At 43.0% G+C, this 24,139-nt stretch overlaps 1 long non-coding RNA gene and 1 pseudogene across 1 annotated transcript in view; both read left to right on the forward strand.

Moving 5' to 3' along the window:
• LOC101928688 (uncharacterized) overlaps positions 1 to 23,603 on the forward strand; it is a 68,479-nt gene extending 44,876 nt beyond the window's left edge. Inside the window, exons 8-9 of the long non-coding RNA XR_001745176.2 lie at positions 14,872 to 14,999; positions 22,062 to 23,603. This is a non-coding gene — a long non-coding RNA (uncharacterized LOC101928688). The remainder of the gene's footprint in view (positions 1 to 14,871; positions 15,000 to 22,061) is intronic.
• Positions 12,740 to 13,029, forward strand: RN7SL496P (RNA, 7SL, cytoplasmic 496, pseudogene; annotated as a pseudogene).
• Positions 23,604 to 24,139: the final 536 nt, after the last annotated feature.

The raw sequence follows: 24,139 nt of genomic DNA on the forward strand, positions 1-24,139 counted from the left end.
CATAAGAGTTCCCTTTTTCTCCCCAACCTCACTAGCATTTTTTACTTTTTGTCTTCCTGATAGTAGCCATTCTAACTGTGGTGAGATGATATTGAGTACTGTTTCATATATTGGCCATTTGTGTGTCTTCCTTTGAAAAATAATCTACTCAGAGCCTTTACCCACTTATTAGTTGGACTACTAACTTTTTCACTGTTAAGGTGTTTGCTTTCCCATATATTCTGGATTTAGACCTTTGTCAGGTGAACAGCTTTCAAGTATTTTCTCTCATTCTATGGATTTTCTTCACTCCATTGGTGGTTTTCCTTGCTGTAATGAAACTTTTAATATAGTCTCATTTATCTATTTTTGATCTTTGTTTTTATTTTTTACCTGTTTTTTTTTTGATGTCTTAGCCATAAAATCATTGCCTAGACCAATGTCTTGAAGTATTTTCTCTATATATTTTCTTCTAGTAGTTTCATAATTTGGGGTCTTATTTTTAAGTCTTTAATGGATTTTGAGTTGATTTTATGGTGAAAGATAAGGATCTGCTTTCATTCTTCATCCTACTGATATCCAGTTTCCCCAGCCCAATTTGTTGAAGAGAGTGTTCTTTCCCAATGTTATGTTGTTGACACCTTTGACACCTTTGTCAAAAATCATGTGCCTGTAAATATGTAGATTTATTTCTGGGTTCTCTATTCTGTTCCATTGGTCTGTGTATCTGTTTTTATAACAATCCATGTTTTAGTCACTGTACCTGGTAATTTGTTGTTGTTGTTGTTGTTGTTGTTGTTGAGAGGGAGTCTCGCTCTGTCACCCGGGCTGGAGTGCAGTGGCGCGATCTCTGCTCACTGACTGCAAGCTCCACCCCCGGGTTCACGCCATTCTCCTGCCTCAGCCTCCCGAGTAGTTGGGACTACAGGCGCCCGCCACCACTCCTGGCTAACTTTTTTGTATTTTTATTAGAGACAGGATGGCCTCAATGTCCTGACCTCGTGATCCGCCCGCCCCGTCTCCCAAAGTGCTGGGATTACAGGAGTGAGCCACTGCGCCCGGCTTCTTTGGCAAGTTTTAAAAAGCATTTTGTTTATTCTTTTTCTTTCTTTTATTTTAGATTCAGGGGGTACATGTGCAGATGTTTTTACAAAGGTGTATTGCATAATGCTGAGGTTTGGGGTATGATTGACCCTGTCACCCAGGCAGTGAGTATTTACTACTCAATAGGTCATTTTTGACACTGGTTCGCCTCCCATCCTTCCCCTTCTTGTAGTCTTCAGTGTCTGCTGTTCTCATCTTTGTGTCCATGTGTACCCAGTGGTTGGTTCCCAGTTCTAAGTGAGAACATGTAGTATTTGGTTTTCTGTTCCTGCATTAGTTTGCTTAGGATAATGGCTTCCAGCTAAATCCATGTTGCTGCGAAGTACATGATTTTGTTCTTTTTATGGCTATATAGTGTAACATGGTGTGAATGTACCATGTTTCCTTTATCCAATCCACCTTTGATGGGCTCCTGGTTGACTCCATGTCTTTGCTATTGTGAATAGTGTGGCGATAAACATACAAGTGCATGTGTCTTTTTGGTAGAATGATATATATTCCTTTGGGTATATACCCAATATTGGGATTTCTGGGTAGAATGGTAGTTCAGTTTTAAGTTGTTTGGGAAATCACCAAACGTCTTTTCACAATGGCTGAACTAATTTACATTCCCACCAGCAGTGTATAAGTGTTCCCTTTCCTGTACAACCTCACCAGCATCTGTTATTAAATATTTTTGACTAATTGCCATTCCAACTGGTGTGGGTTAGTCTCTCGTGGTTTTGATTTGCATTTCTCTAATGATTAATGATAGGAATCTTTTTTAAAAATGTGCTTACTGGATGCATGTATGTCTTCTTTTGAGGAATATCTGTTCATGTCCTTGGCCCACTGTTTTACGGGGTTGTTTGTTTTTTTCTTGTAAATTTGTTTGTTCCTTATAGATGCTGGATATTAGTCCTTTGTCAGATGCATAGTTTGCAAAAATCTCCCATTCTGTAGGTTGTCTTTTTATTCTGTTGATAGTTTCTTTTGATGTACAGAAGCTCTTTAATTAAGTTCCATTTGTCAATTTTAGCTTTGTGTTTTGTTTTGTTTTTTGAGACAGGGTCTTTGTTTCTCAGGCTAGACTGCAGTGGTGCAAACACAACTCACTGCAGCCTCAACCTCTTGGGCTCAAGTGATCCTCCTGCCTCAGCCCCCCAAGTAGCTGGGACAACATGTGTATGCCAGCACGCCTAGCTAATTTTTGTATTTTTTGTAGAGACAGGGTTTTGCCATGTTGTCCAGGTGGTCTCAAACTCCTGAATTAGGGAGGGGTCCCTCCTCGTCAATATTTTGGAAGAGTTTCTGTAGGATTGAGAACAGCTTTGGTTCTGATTCAGCTGTGAATCCATCTGGTCCAGGCCTTATTTCGGTTAGTAGGTTTTTTATTATTGCTTCAATTTCAGAACTTGTTACTGGTCTGTTCACGATTTCAGTTTCTTCCTGGTTCAGTCTTGAAAATTTTTGTGTTTCCAGGAATTTATCTGTTTTCCTGTAGAAATTCTAATTTGTGTGTATGGAGGTGTTCATAATAGTCTCTGAGGATCTATTTTATTTCTGTTGGATCGGTTGTAATGTCATCTGTGTCATATCTGATGGTGCTTATTTAAATATTCTCACTTTTGGTTAATCCAATTAGAAGTCTATCAATCTTTTTTATTCTTTCAAGGAATCAATTTTTGTTTATCCTTTATGTGGGTTTTGGGGTTTCAATGTCATTCAGTTCTGCTCTCATTTTAGTTAATTCTTTTCCTCTGCTAGCTTTGGGGTTATTTTCTTGTTTTTTGGTTCCTCCAAGTGTAATGTCAGATTGTTAATTTCAGATCGTTCTAACTTATTGGCACGTGCACTTAGCACTGTAAACTTTCCTCTTAACACTGCTTTTGCAATATCCCAGAGGTTTTGATATGTTGTGTCTCTGTTTTTATTTATTTTGAAGATTTTTTGTTTCTGATTTAATTTCATTGTTTACCCAAAAGTCATTCAGGAGCATGTTTTTTAACTTCCATGTAATTCTGTAGTTTTGAGATATCTCAGTATTGATATGTTTTTATTGCAGTGTAATCCAAGAGTGTGCTTGATATGATTTTATTTTATTTTTAAATTTATGGAGACTTGCTTATGGCCAAGCATGTGGTTGACCTTAGAGTATGTTCCATGTGCACATGAGAAGAAAGTATGTTCTGTGATTTTGGGATAGAGTATTCTATAGATGTCTGTTAGGCCTAATTGATCAAGAGTCAAATTTAAGTCCAGAATTTCTTTGTAGGTTTTGTCTCAGTGGTTTGTCTAATGCTGTCAGTGAGGTGTTGAAGTCCCCTATTATTATGTGGCTGTCTAGACTTTTTCATAGACATAAAATAGAAGTACTATTTTATGAATCTGAGTGCTCCAATGTTGAGTGTGTATATATTTAAGATAATGAAGTCTTCCTGTTGAATTGAGCCTTTTATCATTATGAATTGAGCCTTTTATCATTATGTAATGCTCGTCTTTGTCTTTTTTTACTGTTGTTGATTTAAAGTCTGTTTTATCTGATATAAGAATAGCGGCTGGGCTCAGTGGCTCACGCCTGTAATCCCAGCACTTTGGGAGGCCGAGGTGGGCAGATCATGAGGTCAGGAGATTGAGACCATCCTGGATAACACAGTGAAACCCCGTCTCTACTAAAAATACAAAAATTAGCTACTTGGGAGGCTGAGGCAGGAGAATCACTTGAACCCGGAGGCAGAGCTTACAGTGAGCCGAGATCATGCCACTACACTCCAGCCTGGGCGACAGAGCAAGACTGCATCTCAGAAAAAAGAAAGAAAGAAAGAAGAATGGCAACCTTTACTCTTCTTTTCCATTTTATTTGCATGATGGATCCTTCCTCATTCCTTTACACTGAGCCTTTGCATGGTATTACATGTGAGATGGGTTTTGAAGACAAGCAGTGGTTGGTTTTCGTTTTTGTATTCAACTTACCACCCTGACTTCTGAGTGGAGCATTTAGACCATTTAATTTGAGATTAACACTGCTGTATGAGATTTTGATCCTGTTGCGATATTGTTAGCTGGTTGCTCTGTGTTCTCCATTGTGTAATTGCTGTGTAGGATCTGTGGGCTATGGACTTAAATCTGGTTTTGTGATAGCAGCTATTGTTTCCTTCATTTTTGTGTTTGTAACTCCCTTAAGAATTTTTTTTTTTTTTTTTTGAGACAGAGCCTTGCTCTGTCACCCAGGCTGGAGTGCAGTGGCACGATCTTGGCTCACCGCAACCTCTGCCTCCCTGGTCCTGAGCAGCTGGAATTACAGGCACCAGCCACCATGCCTGGCTGATTTTTGTATTTTCGGTAGAGACAGGGTATCACGATCTTGGCCAGGCTGGTCTTGAACTTCTGACCTCCTGATCCACCCGCCTTGGCCTCCAAAAGTGCTGGGATTACAGGCATGAGCCACTGTGCCTGGCCAAATATTATTTTTTTAAATGAATTGTTTCTCTTAGTCTGCTTTGTTAAATTTGGAATTCGTTGGACCCAGATAAATTAAAAAGTGGAAGATAAAAATACTTAAAATACGCTGGGTGCAGTGGCTCATGCCTATAATGCCAGCACTTTGGGAGGCCGAGGCAGGCAGATATCTAGGTCGGGGGTTCGAGACCAGCCTGACCAACATGGAGAAACGCCATCTGTACTAAAAATACAAAATTAGACGGGCTCTAATGGGCTTTGCCCATTTTTTAATCAGGTTGTTTTTGTTGTTATTGTTGTTGTTAAATTGCCCAAGTAACTCTTGGTGATTGTGTTTCTCTAATTTCTGCCCTCCTCTTCCTTCCTTTAATGCTTTATATTTTGTCACCAAGTGTGTAGCTTCTTAGACCTCTCTTGGGTAGTTTCAGTATTCATTTAGGAGTAACAACAAACAACAACAAAAAAAAAATGAAAGAAAGCAAAAGAAATGTAGTTGCTTCCAGCTGGAATCTGGTAAAATATGTATTTCACAACCAAGTCTTGTAAGAAAGGATAATGTGACTCATATAAGCTGGAAAGTTTAGGAGATTTAAAGCATAAAGTAGTGCTCAAAGTCACGTGGGTCCACCTCTTAGCTCTTCTGGTTTCACTGTATCCTGAGACAGTCTTTTCCAGGGTGGTTTCAAGATGGCTGCCAACAGCTACTTTCTTCTTTGTCCTCCCTGTCCCTCTTTCTTCTCCTCCTCTTCCTTCTCTACTTCCTACTTTCCCCTTTTCTTCTTCAGCAAACTTTATTTTGGCATTGTGAAAGGGAAATATCTTGGGCCTCCAAAATCACTAAGCTAAAGGGAAAAAGCAGCTGGGAACGGCTTAGAGCAAACCTGCCTCCCATTCTATTCAGTTGTCCCTCTGCTCATTGAGATAGATGCGTATAGTATCTGATTGCCTCCTTTGGAAAGGCTAATCAGAAACTCAGAAGAATGCAATTGTTTGTCTCTCACTTATCTGTGACCTGGAAGCCCCCTCCTGCTTCAGGTCTTCTCACCTTCACTTCGAGTTGTCCAGCCTTTCCAGACTGAACTAATGTACTTCTTACATGTATTGATTGATGTCTCATGTCTCCCTAAAATGTATAAAACCAAGCTGTGCCACAACCACCTTGGGCACATGTTGTCAGGACTTCCTGAGACTGTGTCTTGGGTGCACATCCTCGACCTTGACAAAGTAAACTAACTTTCTTTCTTTTTTTTTTTTTTTTTTTTTTTTGAGACAAGAGTTTTGCTCTGTTGCCCAGGCTGGAGTGCAGTGGCATGATCTCGGCTCACTGCAACCTCTGCCTCACAGGTTCAAGCAATTCTCCTGCCTCAGCCTCCCGAGTAGCTGCCATTACAGAAGCCCAGCTAATTTTTGTATTTTTAGTAGAGACAGGGTTTCATCATCTTGGCTAGGCTGGTCTTGAACACCTGACCTCGTGATCCACCCACCTCAGCCTCCCAAAGTGCTGGGATTATAGGTGTGAGCCACTGTGCCTGGCCTAAACTTTCAAAATTAACTGAGAACTCTCAGATTTTCTGGGTTTACATTTTGGTAACCAGAAGGGGTTTCTGAGTGGAGATACCCCTGACCTTTGACAAGCTTTAAATCAAAGTTAGCATGAGCTAACTTTATGGCTCAAACCAATAGGATAATTTGCTGAGGTCTGAGAGCACCCCCCCCAGAGAATCCCTGATCTCCCAAAATTTGGTCGAGATCTAACAACTCCTTTTTTTTTTTTTTTTTTTTGAGTTTTACTTGCTTCCAACACAAGGAAGGCAAGTTTTTCCTGCTTCCATGATGATGGAAGCGAACCAGTTCAATTCCAGCAGGAAAGATGAGTTTTTTTTCCCCTGCTTCTAGGATAGTAGACAGCAGTCTTTATTTAGCCTGAGACCCATCCCTAGGTAAGTAACTGAATTGGGGTTTGTCGTGGCTAAAGATTAACAACCAGCTGGTGTTAATTTGCTTACACTTCAGCCTGAGACCCATTCCTAGGTAAGTAACTGAATTGGGGTTTGTCTTGGCTAAAGATTAACAACCAGCTGGTGTTAATTTCTGCTTACACTTAACAGCACTCACATTAGAAACAACTTTTGGTGCCGCAAAAGAAATAGCACTCGAACAGAAATTTTCTCAGCAAGGCAAATTTACTTCTGCAGAAGGGTGTAGCTTGCACCAGTCATGATCACAAGAGCACACCGAGTGGGATAGGGTGTAGGGGTTCAGTTAGGATGGTGGGAAAAATTGTAAAATAAACACAAACCTTCTTGGAAAGCTGGAAGGTTTTTGCAAAAGCCTCAGGATAGAGTTATGGCTGACAGCAGCCTAATCCTCCTTGAGCTATAGCAAGGGTAATTAACATAGGAATGTAGAGGAGTCTGTCTAAATAGCTTGTTGACTCATGTGGTCCTAAGACTAACCTTTGACCATCTGCAGGTGCATGATTGCTCTCTACATGGTAATTACCTTCTAGTGGTGTTTACTTGAGAATTTTGTCATTTAATGTGTGCCATATAAGTGACAGAGGGCCAGCGAGTGGGGGCCATGGTTGCAAGTCTTTACAACACTCTCTTGGGAGTCTGTAAATCGCCTGAACTCTCAGAATAATATCTGTATCAGGGTATTTATTCATCTGTTGTTGGGTCAGGGTCTGCAGGATGGACCCCTGCAGCTGGTGCCCTGTGTGAGGATCACTACAAAGGAAGCACGAAGGACCCCCTGAAAATGAAGGTAAAAAAGGACTGCACGGTTACTGAGTAATCAGTAAGTCATTGGTGCCCACTCGGGATTTCCAAGTTCAGCTGGGAACAGGCTCACGCCTGTAATCCCAGCACTTTGGGATGCCAAGGTGGGCAGATCACCTGAGGTCAGGAGTTTAAGGCCAGTTTGGCCAACATCGTGAAACCCCATCTCTACTAAAAATATGAAAATTAGCTGGGTGTGGTGGCACGCACCTGTAATCCCAGCTACTTGGGAGGCTGAGGCAGGAGAATTGCTTGATCTCCGGAGGCTGAGGTTGCAGTGAGCTGAGATTGCGCCACTACACTCCGACCTGGGCGACAGAGTGAGACTCCATCTCAAAAAAAAAAAAAAAAAAAAAATTTAAAAAAGGAAGGAAATTGGCCAGGCGCGGTGGCTCACGCCAGTAATCCCAGCACTTTGGGAGGCTGAGGCGGGTGGATCACAAGGTCAGGAGATTGAGATGGTCCTGGCTAACACGGTGAAACCCTGTCTCTACTAAAAATACAAAAAATTAGCCAGGCGTGGTTGCAGGCGCCTGTAGTCCCAGCTACTGGGGAGGCTGAGGCAGGAGAATGGCCTGAACCCGGGAAGCGGAGCTTGCAGTGAGCTGAGATCGCACCACTACACTCCAGCCTGGGCGACAGAGCGAGACTCCATCTCAAAAAAAAAAAAAAAAAAAAAAGGAAATTCTGACACATGCTACAACGATGAACTTTAAGGGTATTCTGCTAAATGAAATAAATCAATCACAAAATGACAAATATGGTATGATTCTACTTATATGAGTTACCTACGGTAGCCAAATTCCCAGAGGCAAAAAGTAGAAAAGTGGTTGCCAGGGGGTTGGAGGAGGGGAGAATGGGGAATTAGTGTTTAGTAGATACAGAGTTTCCATTTTGCAAGAAAAAAGAATTCTGAGAGTGGATGGTGGTGATGGTGATGTTAATGAACCTAATGCCACTGAGCTGTAAATTTAAAAATGTTTAAGATGGTAGATTTGTGTTACGTGTATTTTACCGTAAGTGTAGGAAAAAGAGTTATGTGGACAAAAACACTTGCTGTAAGACAGACTTACATAGCTTGGCTGGAGAACAGCTAGAGTAAACAAATACATCATCAAAAGTAAATGAAAAATGTATAAATCCTGAGGGGAAATTTTTTTTTTAACTCTAAGACTTATGCAAATTTCTGCAAATAAATAAACAAAACTCTAAGACATATTTATGTAGAAACCTTAGGAGAAAATCAGGCCAGGCGTGGTGGCTCATTTTTGTAATCCCAGCACTTTGGGAGGACGAGGCAGGCAGATCACTTGAGCTCAGGAGCTCAAGACCAGCCTAGGCAACATAATGAGACCCTGTCTCAAAAAAAAAAAAAAAAAGAAAGAAAGACAGGAAGAGAGAGAGAAAGAGACAAAGAAAGAAAGAGAAAGGAAGGAAGGAAAAAGAAAGAAGAAAGAAAGAAAATAAAAGAAAAAAGAAATTCTCCAATGTCTCCAATATAAAGCCAGCTTTGGGATCTACTACCCTGTGTTGGTGCTTCTTAAACTGGAGAACGCACATCCCCCAAAAATATGTCCAGAGAACCCACCCCACTCCCTGTGCCCTGGGATCTGCTGACCTCATTTTAAGAAATATTGCACCTAATGTCAAAATAACACAATCACCCTGCATTTGTGATTTTTACTTTGGTTGAATTATTTTATGTTATAAAGGTATGTTATATAGTTAGTAATACTACATAGCCAAAAGCTTTATAGATTATCTTTAATTTCTTGAGGTAGTGTTTTCCCAACCTGAACACTCTTAGCTGCCCAAGAATATCAATAGAGAAACCAGTTTGAGAAGTATTGTACTACACAGAAGTTGTCTAAAGACCCTGAGATTTAATAATCTAGCAACAGAAGTTTCTGGTTTGAGCTCAATTGACTCCTAAAGAAAGTTGGGGCCTGGGCATGGTGGCTCACACCTGTAATCCCAGCACTTTAGGAGGGTGAGGCAGGCAGATCACTTGAAGTCAGGAGTTTCAGACCAGCCTGGGCAACATGGTGAAACCCCATCTCTACCAAAAATACAAACATAAGCTGGGTGTGGTAGCACATGCCTGTGATCCCAGCTACTCAGGAAACTGAGGTGGGAGGATCATTTGAGCCCAGGAGGCAGAGGTTGCAGTGAGCTGAGATCTCGCCACTGCACTCCAGCTTGGGTAACACAGCGAGACTCCCATCTAAAAAAAAAAAAAAAGAAAGAAAAGAAAAGAAAAAGAAAATTGATAGGAAAATAATGAGGGCTGGGGTAGGAGAGCAGGAGGCAGGGGCAGGGATCAGGGAAGGGCACAGGTGGCCAGTTGGTCATGGAGGCAGGATCTGTGGCTTTTAAGGGCCCTTTCTCTAGGACCTTGCACAGGGCCTGGCACACAGTAGTAGGCAGTCAATAGATATCGTTGAATGAATGAGGGAAGAGGGAGGAGGAGGAGGACAGAGATTGTGTTTTGTCATAACCAGAAACTCTGCCTGGATTTGTGTCTAAACTAGACAAAGCTGTGGCTTTTCACACAGCTTGGTGTGAGTTCGGTTGACTCCTAAAGAAAGTTTGGGGGCCGGGCGTGGTGGCTCACGCCTGTAATCTCAGCACTTTGGGAGGCTGAGGCAGGTGGATCACGAGGTCAGGGACCAAGACCATCCTGGCCAACATGGTGAAACCCCGTCTCTACTAAAATACAAAAAATTAGCCGGGCGTGGTGGCAAGGTGCCTGTAGTCCCAGCTACTTGGGAGGCTGACGCAGGGGAATTGCTTGAACCTGGGAGGCAGAGATTGCAGTGAGCCAAGATTGCGCCACTGCACTTCAGCCTGGCGACAGAGCGAGACTCCGTCTAAAAAAAGGGCCAGGCGCAGTGGCTCACGCCTGTAATCCCAGCACTTTGGGTGGCCCAGGCAGGCGGATCATCTGAGGTCGGGAGTTCGAGACCAGCCTGACCAACATGGAGAAACTCTGTCTCTACTAAAAATACAAAATTAGCCGGGCGTGGTGGTGCATGCCTCTAATCCCAACTACTTGGGAGGCTGAGGCAGGAGAATCGCTTGAGCTGGGGAGGTAGAGGTTGCAGTGAGCCAAGATTGACCCATTGCACTCCAGCCTGTGTAACAAGAGCGGAACTCCATCTCAAAAAAATAAAACAAAAAAAAGAAAGTTGGGGGCCAGGAGTGGCCGCTCACTCCTGTAATCTCAGCACTTTGGAAGGCCAGGGCAGGTGGGAACTTGGTTTCTGCTCTAACTGGTTTGGGGATGTGAATGAAGGGTAGGCAGAGATCTGACTTCAAGGCTTCAGGGAGCATGTGAGATAATTACAAAGTTAAGCAAGGGAAATTAAATTGCTGGCCAAAAATCACAATCCTTTTGCTCCTAAAGTTTAGAAATGCCCTGGTTTGCTAGAGAATTGACTTTTTTGAAACCTCTTATTTATTTATTTATTTATTTCTTAGACAGGGTCTTGCTCTGTGACCTAGGCTGGAGTGCAGTGGTTCCATCACAGCATGCTGCAGCCTCCACCTCCGGAGCTCAAGTAATCCTCTCACCTCAGCCTCCCAAGTATCTGGGACTATAGACATGTGCCACCGTGCCTGGCTAATTTTTTTTTTTTTTTTTGACATGGAGTCTCACTCTGTCACTCAGGCTGGAGTGCAGTGGCGCAATCTCGGCTCACTGAACCTCTGCCTCCCGGGTTCAAATGATTCTCCTGCCTCAGCCTCCTTAGTAGCTCGGATTACAGGCATGTGCCACCACGCCCGGCTAATTTTTGTATTTTTAGAAGAGATGGGGTTTCACCATGTTGCTCAGGCTGCTCTCGAACTCTTGACCTCGTGATCCATCTGCCTTGGCCTCCCAAAACGCTGAGATTTCAGGCATGAGCCACTGCGCCTGGAGCCTGGCTAATATTTTTTATTTTTTGTAGAGACAGCATCTCACTGTTGTCACCCAGGCTGGTTTCGAACTCCTGGCCTCAAGCAGTCTCCCTATCCTGGCCTCCCAAAGTGTTGGGATTACAGGCACGATTCACTGTGCGTGGCCCAGCTTCTTTTTAGTATTAAAAAAAATGTTGTGTCAGCCAGGATAGAATGGCCTATGCCACAGTAACAACCAACCCCCAAATTGCAGCAATCACATTTATTTCTTACTTTTGCTACATGTCCAAGGTGGGGCTGCAGGGCCTCTTTGCTGCTGCCACCACTCAGGGCCCAGGCTGCCAGTAGTGTCCTCTCAGCAGTGGCTTCCTTGATCATCAGGACATTGGGAAGGTGAACATGGTGAATTACGCACTGCTTTCTACCCAGAAGGGTCACATGTCATTCCTGCTCAAATTTCATTGACCAAAAAGAGCTACATAACCCAAATCCTACCAGGTGCCCCAAAGGTAGAGAGCTGCAAATATTTAGTGAACAGCATTTAATGACTACTACGTATTTTCCTTATGGAAAACAAACATACAGAACTAGAATTGCACAAATGAAGACTGAAGGTCTGGATTGGTTCTTCAACTCTATTAGGTTGGTGCAAAAGTAACTGCAGGTTTGCCATTTTAATGGCAAAAAGTGCAATAACTTTTGCACCAACCTAATACATATGCAAGAAGTTGTGTCACAAATTATAATTGGGGCTATAGCTATAGATTCACTGTTTGAAAGCCAATGTGAATCAAGGATTATTAGACAATGGGAGACTTCTACATTTCCCCCATACTGTTCTACAGCTTTGACTCAGAAATGCATTTTAGAATGTAAAAGATTTTTTCTTTTTTAAAACTCATTGCTTACTGCTTCTTAATTTAGTAAAAATCTACAAAGATATCTTTGTTTTCTTTTTTTTTTTGAGACGGAGTTTCGCTCTTGTTGTCCAGGCTGGAGTGCAATGGCGTGACCTTGGCTCACCGCAACCTCCACCTCCTGGGTTCAAGTGATTCTCCTGCCTCAGCCTCCCGAGTACCTGGAATTACAGGCATGTGCCACCAAGCTTGGCTAATTTTGTATTTTTAGTAGAGACGTGGTTTCTCCATGTTGGTCAGGCTGCTCTCGAACTCCTGACCTCAAGTGATCTGCCTGCCTCAGCCTCCCAAAGTGCTGGGATTACAGGTGTGAGCCACCACACCTGGCCTACAAAGATATCTTGATTGCTCTTCCAATTCAACTTTCCATTTGCAAAAGCCTCTAATATTTCAAAATTCTGAGTTTCTTCTGACAAAATTGGGGTAATCTGAAACAGGTAATGAACAAATCACAGAAAAATAGAGCTGGAAAGGAATACAGGGATTATCTCATCCAGCCATCTAAGAGAACAGAAAAGATAAAAATAATAAATAAATAAATAAATAGCTCTGGGATGTAGTCTTTCTGGCTAAACAGCTTCCCCATGAGGAAGTTGCAGCACTTAAACTTTTGACTCCTGTAGGCACAGCAGTGCATGCCTGTAGTCCCAGCTACTCCTGAGGTGGGAAGATCACTTGAGCCCAAGAAGTCCTGGACTATAGTACACGATGCCAATCGGGTGTCTGCACTAAGTTCAGCATCAGTATGGTGACCTCCTGGGAGTGGGGGACCACCAGGTTGCCTAAGGATGGGTGAACCAGTCCAGGCAGAAACTGAACAGGTCAAAACTCCTGTGCTGATCAGTAGTGGGATTGTGACTGTGAATAGGCATTGCACTCCAGCCTGGATGACATAGTGAGATCCTATCTCTAAGAATAGAGAGAGAGAGAGAGGGAACTAAACTTATCACTCCAAGCCAAATTCCCTTTCCTCACAGGCCTCTCATTAATGTTGGAAAATGCCGGGTCCTCTGTACAACTTTCTGTTTCCTACAGTTGCCTGGCCTCTATTTGTTTTTGTCATGTCATATTCCTCAACTGTTCTAATTGGAGTGGAGCTGTGGTCATCTATTGTTATAGTAGTAATACTGAACATTGCCATCATTTTTATTAAGTGATTCTTACTTGCCACAGCAGTATTGTATTTTCCCCATGCAAATATCATGTGTGATAGGTTCAACTGTGACCCCCTAAAAAATCTGTTCAAATCCTAACCCTTAGTGCCTATGAATGTAACCTTATTTGGAAATAAGGTTTCTGCAGATGTAATTACGTTAAGATGAGGACACACTGGATTAGGGTGTGCTCTAAGGTGACTGTCCTTACAATAGGTGAGGACTTGAGTGACGCAGGTACAAGCCAAGAAACACCAAGGGTGGCCAGCAGCCACCAGAAGCTGGAAAAGGTGAGGAAAGATGCTTCCCGAGAGCCTTCAAGGAGTATGGCCCTGCTGATGCCTTGATTTTGGACTTCTGGCCTCCAAAACTGCCAGAGAATAAATTTCTGTTGTTTTAAGCCACTGAATTTGTGGAACTTGTTAAGGCAGCCCAAGGAAACCAACACACTCCATGAGATGGTTATTAATTCTCATTTTACAGATGAAGAAACTGAGGTTTATAGAGATTAAAGATTTGCTTGAAGACTTAACAGCCATGAGAACTAAATCAACGTGTAGGTTTTGTTTGAATCCTATAAAAAGGCCATTTTTGAGATAATCAATGAAATTTGAATATGGTTTGGGTAGTGGATGTTATTTATTTATTATAAATTTTATATTATTGTTTTAGATGTTACTAATTATATTTGTTGGTGCAAGGTGCAGTGTTATTACATTGTTGTTCAATAACGGCATAGTGATCATATTTTAAAAGGGTTTGGCCAGGTGCAGTGGCTCATGCCTGTAATTCCAGCACTTTGGGAGGCTGAAGGGGGAGGATTGCTTGAGCCCAGGAGTTTCAGATCAGCCTGAGCAACATCGTGAGATGTTGATCTAAAAAAATAACCAATACATTTTTTTAAAAGAAGGAAAAAAAAATAAGTAGAAAGAAATATAAAAGGTTTTTACCAGCAAAATATGCATACTGAGGTATTTGTGGGTAAAATTTCATGACGTCTGGAGCTTGCTTTAAAATGCTCATCCTGGCCAGACACGGTGGCTCACGCCTGTAGTCCAGCACTGTGGGAGGCCGAGGTGGGTGGGTCATTTGAGGCCAGGAGTTTGAGACCAGCCTGGTCAACATGGTGAAACCTCCATCTCTACTAAAAATCTAAAATAAATAAATAAATAAGTAAGTAAATAAATCAGCCAGGGGCTGTGGCACACGCCTGTAGTCCCAGCTACTTGGGAGGCTGAGGTACAAGAATCGCTTGAACCTGGGAGGTGGAAGTTGCAGTGAGCCGAGATGGCACCACTGCACTCCAGCCTGGGTGACAGCAAAACTGTCTAAACAAACAAACAAAATAAAATGCTCATCCCCACCACTCCCCGAAAAGTACTGGAGGGAGTGGATAGATGAAACAAAATGGACACGTTGTCATTAATTGTTGAAGATGGATGATGTGTGTGTGTGTATATAGGGGTTTGTTATAGCATATATTGTACTACTCTTTCTGTTTATGTAACAAAAAATAACCTTTCTTTCTGAGAGAATTCAGTCCTATTGTCCTAGGGCATATTCTGTAATGAATTAACTCCACTCTTATGCATCTTGCAGGGAACTGCAGCATGGGATGCAACATTCTTGGAAGAACTGAGAAGAGTACTCACTCAAATTACCTTCTGTGTGGTTTCTATGGTTTCTCCACACTGGTTGAGAAAGTTCTGAAAACCGCAATCCAGAGGGTAAGTCCAGCTCGAACGGGAAGGCAGTCGGGCTCAGGAACATGGAGCAACCACCTGCCCTTCTGCTGCCCTGGACAATAGGTATTGCACTGTTGGAACTTGGTGGCATTTGCCCAAGGTCAAAATAGGGCATGAGGGAAGATGAAGGGATGGAAGTGAGCCAGCTGTGGGCATTCTCCTAGACACTTCTCATGCTCCTCTGCTTCTCTTAGCCCCTAGAGAACTAAGCCTCACCTAGTCCCCCACCCTTCTCCCCTGTCCCTAAAGCAGTGCACATCCCTTTCGAGATTTTCTGACAGTGACTAGGAAATTCAAGGGCAGGTTTTGTAGTGGAAAGTGCTGGCTAGGGTTGTGCAGCCCATAGGGGCCTGGTTTCCTAATCTGACCCCATGGCTCTTTGGCTGTGTGATCTGGGGCAGCTACCTAACCTCTCTCAGCTTCAACTGCCTCTCCTGTGAAACAAAGATGGTATTGCCCAACAGGCTGTGGGGAAGACTGAATGAAGCATTATTATATGTTATGCACCTAGTGAACTGCATGATATACAGCAGATGTTCAATAAGTAAGACACATGGCCGGGTGCAGTGGCTCACGCCTGTAATCCCAGCACTTTGGGAGGTCGAGGCAGGTGGATCACCTGAGGTCAGGAATTCGAGACCAGCCAGGCCAACATGGCGAAATCCCATCTCTACTACAAATAAAAAAATTGCCAGGCATGGTGGCGCACACCTGTAATCTCAGCTACTCAGGAGGCTGAGAATCGCCTGAATCTGGAAGGCAGAGGTTGCAGTGAGCCGAGATTGCGCCACCGCACTTCAGCCTGGGTGACAAAGCAAGACTGTCAAAAAAAAGAAAAAGAGATAAGGGCAAGAAAAGGCTCCAATCACTGCCTCAGCCACGTCCACTGCCATGACCACTGATACCTCACAGGATAATTTGCACCTTGGATTTCAGATGCTGATAACTGGTTTCTGTAAGGTGAGATCAGGGCAGAGAAGATCCAGGAGAGGGCTGGCATGCTGCCCAAAAGACTCCTTCCAAAAGGGCTGATGGCAGGGCTGAAACCACCTTTGCAAAAATTATAACAGAGGAAATTATGACAGTGAAAGAGATCAAACCTAACCGACTCCATCTGGCTTCTAACCTTTAAGCTGTCCTTGTTCACTCCTGGGCATAGGCTGAACTAACCTTGGGAAGGAATTTAGTTCACAGTTTTGCTCTGAAACAAAATTGATAATAGCCCTTTCCCCACAAAGACCCACTTCTTGCCTGGGGACCAGTCTATCTTTGTAGGACTCACAAATTAGCTACAAGATTAGAAATTATGGTTTAGAGGTCATGCAGCCTCTGGCTGCAAGAGTCTGAACCTCCCCAAATTGCTTCTGGGGATAACATCACCATTGTAAAGCCTAAGATCAGTGCTTGAGACATTTTGCAGACCTTGCACTGGTAGCTGACACTACCCAGAAGGGTAATCTGGCTCAACCAGTTCTGTGATCCCACCCAGGAACAGAAGACAGCAAGAAAACCTCACTATGACCCCCTAAAATCCCATCTCCAAACTGGCAAATCAGCACCCCGTACTTCCTGAGACTCCACCCCTCAAATTATCTTTAAAAATTCTCCAAATGCTCAAGGAGACTGATTTGAGTAGTAATAAAACTCTGGTCTCCCGCATAGCCTGCTCTGCATGAATTACTCTTTCTCCATTGCAATTCTCCTGTCTTGATAAATTGGCTCTGTCTAGGCAGCGGGCAAGGTGAACCTGCTGGGTGGTTACAGGGCTTTGGGTAGAAGAGAGAGAGGAGATGAGAAGAATGCTTACAGGGGAGGCAAAAGGGGAATTCCTGGGGCAAATCCTGGGGGGAAAGTAAGGGAGAGGTACTCTCCAAGGGACATAGGTGAAACTTGAGTCATCTGTAAATGTGAATACCTCCAAATAAATAGAAGAAATGTAAATAGTACTTGCTATGTCCCAAGGCTTATTCTGGAAGCTTTACAAATATTAACTCCTGTAAACTTCTCAACAACCTGTGACATAAGTGCTATTATTATCTCCATTTTGCATGTGAATAAACTGAGGCAAAGAGAGGTTAAGCAACTAGTCCAAGGTTGTCCAGCTGGTAAGGGTTGGAGCTGGGACTCAGATCAGACAAGCTTGTTCCAGCATCTCTCCACCAATTCTGGAAATCATCACTCTGTAGCTGAGTGTTGAGAATGGTACAAAGAGTTAAGATTCCTGCATTTTGATGGATCTTTCTTCTGAAAACTGGGTCACCCTAACAGTCCCCTGGGTTTACCTGGCCAGGATACCTTGATTCTCTGACACTTTTTTTCCTCCCTCAGGTCTAGTTCTGTGATCCCTCTTGGCTTGTGCCTTGTCTGCTCCAGATGGGGTGTCCTCTCTCTGTGCCAGTGTATCAGCCAAGGGTCCATCCAGAAAAACCCACTCAGAGTGATGTATACTAGGGAGATTTGAGAGGACCTAAACAATTTTGGAAGCTGGTTAATGCAAACTAAAAACAATTCTGGGATAGCCACAGTGGCTCACACCTGTAATCTCAGCACTTTGGTTTTTTGTTGTTGTTGTTGTTTTTGAGATGGAGTCTCGCCCTGTCACCTAGGCTGGAGTGCAGTGGCATGATCTCGGCTCACTGCAACCTCCACCTCCGGGGTTCAAGCAATTCTCCTGCCTCAGCCACCCAAGTAGCTGGAATTACAAGCATGTGCCACCACATCCAGCTAAGTTTTGTATTTTTAGTAGAGACAGGGTTTCACCTTGTTGGCCAGGCTGTTCTGAAACTCCTGACCTCAAGTGATCCACCTGCCTCAGCCTTCATCCCAGCACTTTGGAAACCTGAGGCAGGTGGATTTCTTGAACCCAGGAGTTCAAGACCAGCTTGGGCAACATGGCAAAAGCTCATCTCAACAAAAAAATGTATGAAGTTAATAATAATAATAAATAAAATGCTAAGGTCCGCGAACCACCTGAATGGACCCATCCTCTCTGCCAGGACATTCCAAAGTTAACCTGAAAAACTGGTTCAGGCCATGACAGGAAGGGAGGGTTGGACATACCTCATTATACCCTCCTCTCTTTTGGATTTCAGCAAAAGCTGACAAGCGTTAACATCAACACAGACCTTAAGTCTGATAAGAAAAACTTACGGGCCGGGCGTAGTGGCTCATGCCTGTAATCCCAGCACTTTGGGAGGCCGAGGCGGGTGGATCACTTGAGGTCAGGAGTTCAAGACCAGCCTGGTCAACATGGCGAAACCCCGTCTCTACTAAAAATACAAAAATTAGCCAGGCGTGGTGGTGCACACCTGTAATAACAGCTACTCTGGAGGCTGAGGCAGAAGGATCACTTGAGCTCGGGAGGCAGAGGTTGCAGTGAGCCAAGATCACACCACTGTACTCCAGCCTAGGTGACAGAGTGAGACCCTATCTCAAAAAGAAAACAAAAAAAGAAACACTTTCAGTCTATTATCCCTGAAGGCTGCTACCTGGAGCTTTCACCTGCATGATAAAACTCTGGTCTCCCCAACCCCTTATCATCATAACCCAGACATTCCTTTCTGTATATTCCAGGTCTTTAGATAATAGCTTAATAAGTTAACTCTGTCAACCAACTGCCATTCAGAAAATGTTTAAATCTACCTATAACCTGGACCTCCCCCACCTGCCTCCTTCCAGTTGTCCCACCTTTCCAGACCAAACCAATGTACATCTTACATGTATTTGATGTCTTATGTCTCCCTAAAATGTATAAAACTAGGCTGTGCCCCAACCACTTTGGGCACATGTTCTCAGGGTCTCCTGAGGGCTGTGTCACGGGCCATGGTCACCCTCATTTGGGCCAGAATAAATCTCTTCAAATATTTTACAGGACTTGACTTTTTTTTGTCAACATTGAACAGTCTGTAGATGGCTGGTTCTGGGGCCTGAAGTCTGCAGGGCAGGTCCTCTGGGGATGAGGATGAGGATGGATATGAAGTGGAGGAAAGCAAGGATAAACTGGGACTCTTGAGCCCAAAGCTGGAGCCAGAGGACAGATTGGAGCCCACATAGGTCTTTTAGAAAGCTTCCAATTTCAAGGAAGTAGGTGTCCTATAGGGAAAGCTAGAGCCTTCCACTATGGAACCAAACATACATCTGGCCCAAGAGTCAGAGAAGCTGAAAGAGGCTCCAGCAAAATATGGAGGAGCTGTGAGCCACGGGCTGCCACCAACAAGGTGAGCCAACAGAAAAGCAACAACACGAGCATGTGCTGGGATGGTAGCTGGAGCCTGAGCCAGTCAGCTGAGCACAGAAGGGATACAGCTGCTGTTTCACCTCTGTCTTCCAAATTCCACCCAAGATGTCTCTTGTGGGCCATGCCAGCCTGGAACTATGCAGGGAAGGGGATGCTGGGAGACATTGTTCCAGCTTAGCTCAACTGCTGCAAGCCCAGGCCACACACTTGGGATAGGACGCCCTGCTCTTGCTGGGGAATCCCCTCCATTCTTTCCCTGGAAGTCAAACTGAAGAAAACAAGCCTCCTGCCCAGGGAATTTCTTTGCTTTCATGTTTGCTTTGTTCTCTGTTTTAGTGCCACGGTGGATGTATTCCCTGCTGCCAACTTCTAGTATGGACACCTGGGTGGGTGCCTTTGCTTCTCTTCAGAACCACCCACACCTTTCTATCCTTGGACTCTCCTCCCCAGAGGGGTCATTATCCCAATCAAACACAGTTATGATGAACAGAGAATCCCTGACAGTCACCAGGGATGTCACATAAATGACAGTGTAGTTATGTCTACCACACTGTTTATTCTTGATCTGTAGGATAAGTCTAGAACCAGTTACTTTTATTTAAATACTTTAACACTTGGTGATGGCATAATCTAAGTCAGTGGTTGTCAAACTTTTGCCTGTGGCAGAATCACCTGGAATCCTCTGATTCACATTTTGATTTTCTTTTTTTGTTTTTCTTTTATTGAGACAAGGTCTGGCTATGTTGCCTAGGTTAGAGTACAGTGGCTATTCACAAGTGCAACCATAGTGCGCTGCAGCCTCAAACTTCCGGCCTCAAGCTATCCTCCTGCCTCAGCCTCCCAAGTAGCTGGGACTGCACTGTATACACCGCAGCATCCAGCTCCATCCCAAGTTTCTGATTCAGGTCTCTAAAGGGGCCTGAGAACTTGCAGTTCTATCAAGTTTCCAGGGGATGATGATGACATTGGTCTAGGAGCCACACTTTGAGAACCACTAGCCTTGAGGTTAAGAGGACAAACTTCCAGATCAGACTCCATGGGCTGGACTCCCAATTCACTATTCGTTTGCTTCATGACCATGGGCAAGTTACTCAATATCCTCATGCCTCAGTTTCTTTAAATGTAAAATGAGGACAAAAATGGCACCTACTTTTGGGGGTTGTAGTGAGACTTAAATAAATTAATCCACATAAAGTGTGTGTCCATAAAGCACTATATTCATGTTTTATCCATAAAATACTCTATCCACATTAAGTATGGATACAACATACAGTAAACACTCAACAAATGTTTGCTATTGTTTTAATTCAGCATATGTTTTGTGAGTAAGTGACTATGTAGCAAGTGCATATCGAGTTCTAGATTTACAGATCTTTCACACTCATAAAGGCTGAGTCTAGAATACACAAGTCTTTGATTTAATTTCTCAGTAACTGACATTTTCTTGTCTCTTCATACCTGTCCCCCTCATATGTCTCCAATGATTATCATTGAGCTAGGAAGCACAAGCAAATGCATTAGGAAAAAAGTATTATGATAGAAATACAGCAAGTGTCAGCTCTTTTACAAAATATTATTCTAATGGAAAAACTAGCTTTATGGCAAAGTTTCAGTTTAATTTCCTAATTGTCCAGTGGGTGGCAGCACCACACGGGAATTTCGCAGAAGCGTATTGAATTCCCATTCCCAATCTTCGGCACCAGGCTGGCTCTTTTGCAATTTAAACTCCATTTCCTGGGTCTCAGATGCTTTCCTGTCTTTGTTTACTTTTTTTTGAGAGAGAGTCTTGCTCTGTCGCCCAGGCTGGAGTGCAGTGGCGCGATCTCGGCTCACTGCAACCTACACCTCCCAGGTTCAAGCGATTCTCCTGCCTCAGCCTCCCTAGTAGCTGGGATTACAGGCACCTGCCACCACGCCCGGCTAATTTTTTGTATTTTTAGTAGAGACAGGGTTTCACCATGTTGGCCAGTCTGATATCGAACTCCTGACCTCAGGTGATCCGCCTGCCTCAGCCTCCCAAAGTGTTGGGATTATAGGCGTGAGCCACTGCGCCTGGCCGAGTTAAATCTTTATACACATGTTAAATGATTTCCTTTGGATAAGTTCTTATTACTATAATTGCTGGGTTAAAAGGTATACTTGGCTGGGTGCGGTGGCTCACAGCCTGTAACCAGGAGATGGAGGTTACAGTGAGCTGAGATTGTGTCACTGCACTCCAGCCCGTGCAACAGAGCGAGACTCTCTCAAACAACAACAAAAGGTATACTGTACTGTACATATCTTTAAAGCTTCTGACACTATTCTCAATTATATGGACAACGCTGGATATTATAATTTTAAAACTCTCTGCAGTTCTTATAAAATAACCATTGTGTTTAAAATGTTACATTAAAATTGGTTTAAAATGGTAAATTATTGTTTTTCTTTGCTTTCATGGTATATTTAACTTTCTTAGTTTATAACTCGATTTTGTTTCAAGCTCTCTATTGATTAAATGGAACAAAATAAAATTAGTTAAATGGAATTAAACTAAATAGAATTCAATTGCCAGTTTCTGTGTGCATATATCCTTCCAGAGGTATTCTATGCATTTTCCACACAATACACATTTTTCTACTCCTTGCATTTTCATATTTGTTCTTTTTTTTAAAAAAAATCCTAGATTGACTTAAAAAAAAAAAAAACTCTTCTTAACACATGTCACCTGTTACTTAAGCCTCATAATGGTGACAATAACCCAATTTCTTAAGCAGTAAGTTATTTTCATTGCCTTCTTTTCCTTTCTTGTCATTTGTCTTTTCCTCCAGATGGAATAGTAGGAAGTCAGATCCTGAGAGTCCTGGGGACCCTGAGGAACAAGCTTGCTCACATCTGTGTTTTGTGAGCAGGAAAGGCTGAACACGAAGGCCCTGGGCCGAGCTGCAGAAGTCTCTCCTCTAAGATCTGTTGGCAGAGGTAACAGGTAAGAAATGACAGATTTCTCCTTGTAAGGAAGTCCCAATCTCTCCTCCTCAACCCCAAGTTTCATTTTTCTCATTCATCTCTCCATTTCTGTTCAACAATGCTTTGCATGTAATTGACACTATACAAATGCTTGTTGAATGAACAAATTAATACACAAAAATATCAATGAATAAATGCCAACCCCAGAAATATCTGGTTATGCCTGTTTGAATAGTCCTAGAGACTTTCATCCATGTGACTGGCTTACTGTGAACCATCAATGACAATGTAGCACAAATGCTAGCGGGATACGGAGGAGTCTTTTCCTGTTAGAGCTGGAAGAGGCCCTAGAGCTTATCATATCCCAAAGTCCCAAACCAGTGAACGCTAGCAGAGTATACTTATTTACCATGCATAATCTTGTTGCTGCTGATGTTGACTGTTACTTTGGAATTAGTTACCAACATAGAAAAATTAGGAGACTTCACAAAAAGTGATTCAGGGGCTGTTTGGGGAAAAAAACTAGAAAATAGCTACAGAAAATAGCCTGGGCTGACTAGTTGCTGCCCCTCTTGCATTCTATTTTATTAGTGTATTTATTCTTCTTGGTCTTCTTTCAAGAATGGCTCCCATTTTAGATGGAGTGTGTTCTATTCATTTAATGCAGCTCCCAACCACCCCCAGTGCACCTGATGCATAGACAGGACCTGTCCAGCCCTGGTAGCAGTTGCATTTGTGATGCCTAATTTAATCCTATGCCACTCCACTACCCTTTTTTCAATAAGAAAACTGAGGCCCACTCAATTTGCCTCCCTAAAAATGTGTCTGATTTGGGTCTCATTCCTACATTGTCTTCCATCCACTGCCATAGTAAACACTGAAAAATACAGATGTAACAAGGTCACCCTTCTGCTTAAAATCCTTCGGTGGCTCCTTACTAGTTTGGAAGATCCCAGTCTTCTTGTCATGGCTAATGAGACCTTTCAATGCAAAGCCTACTTTACCAGCCTTAACTCTGACAACGCTAATAAGCCAGCCACACCAAACATCTTCAAGTTATTTTACTCTGCCATATCGTTTTGTGCCTCACTATCTCTGTCTATGCTGATCTCTTTGCCTGGAATGCCCATCCTTATCATTTGTCTGACAAACTCATGCACATTCGGCACTTAGCTCAGGCACCTGTGATTCTGCCCTGCCAATGCCTCCACCCTCCTCCTACTTCTCCTCCTCCTCCATCATCTCTGAGCCATAGGGCTAAGCTCACACCTCTATTTATAGCTCTTAGAACAGTCAGTTATAACTTCCCTACTAGAGTATGTGCTCCTTGAGGGAAGAGACCACAGACCATTCATTTTTATCTTCTGCATTTTTTCCCAGTGTTCAATAAATGTTGAATAAACAAATGATTATCTTGCTCCAGGTGACTTTGTTAGTGACCTAGCTGTGAGAAAATATGGTCTTCAAGTTTTAAAGGAATCCTTTAAAGGTTTAAAAAAAGTTTTAAACCTCATTTTGGCCTCAGCTTCCCAGTTATAAAGTTAACCCCCAAATGTCATTTGACTCCAGATAATTAGCATAACCCAATCCTGGAAATTCAATACTTCTTGCTAGTGTTTGGTTCGTGGATGAGCTTGTAATGAAAACCTGGTTAATAAAACATGAGGGAATCCTGCTCTCAGGAAGACAGTTCTGAGACATTTTCCTCTATCCAAAGAAAAGCCACAGAGCAGATGCCTCCTCCCTTTATCTTTTGGATATTATCATTTCAAAATACTATGTATGGAAGTGCTGACGGCATCTTGCCATCAACCTGAAAATAAAGCCAATACTAGTGCTGGGAGAATGGAGAGATGGAAAAAAAGCTTGGAACTAAGGCATCAAGAAGCCGCTGAGCCACCAACCCTGATTCTTGTTCCATTGCTACATCAAATAACACATT

The sequence above is a fragment of the Homo sapiens genome, chromosome 7 (genome assembly GCF_000001405.40).
Source record: "Homo sapiens chromosome 7, GRCh38.p14 Primary Assembly".
Taxonomy (NCBI): Eukaryota; Metazoa; Chordata; class Mammalia; order Primates; family Hominidae; genus Homo; species Homo sapiens.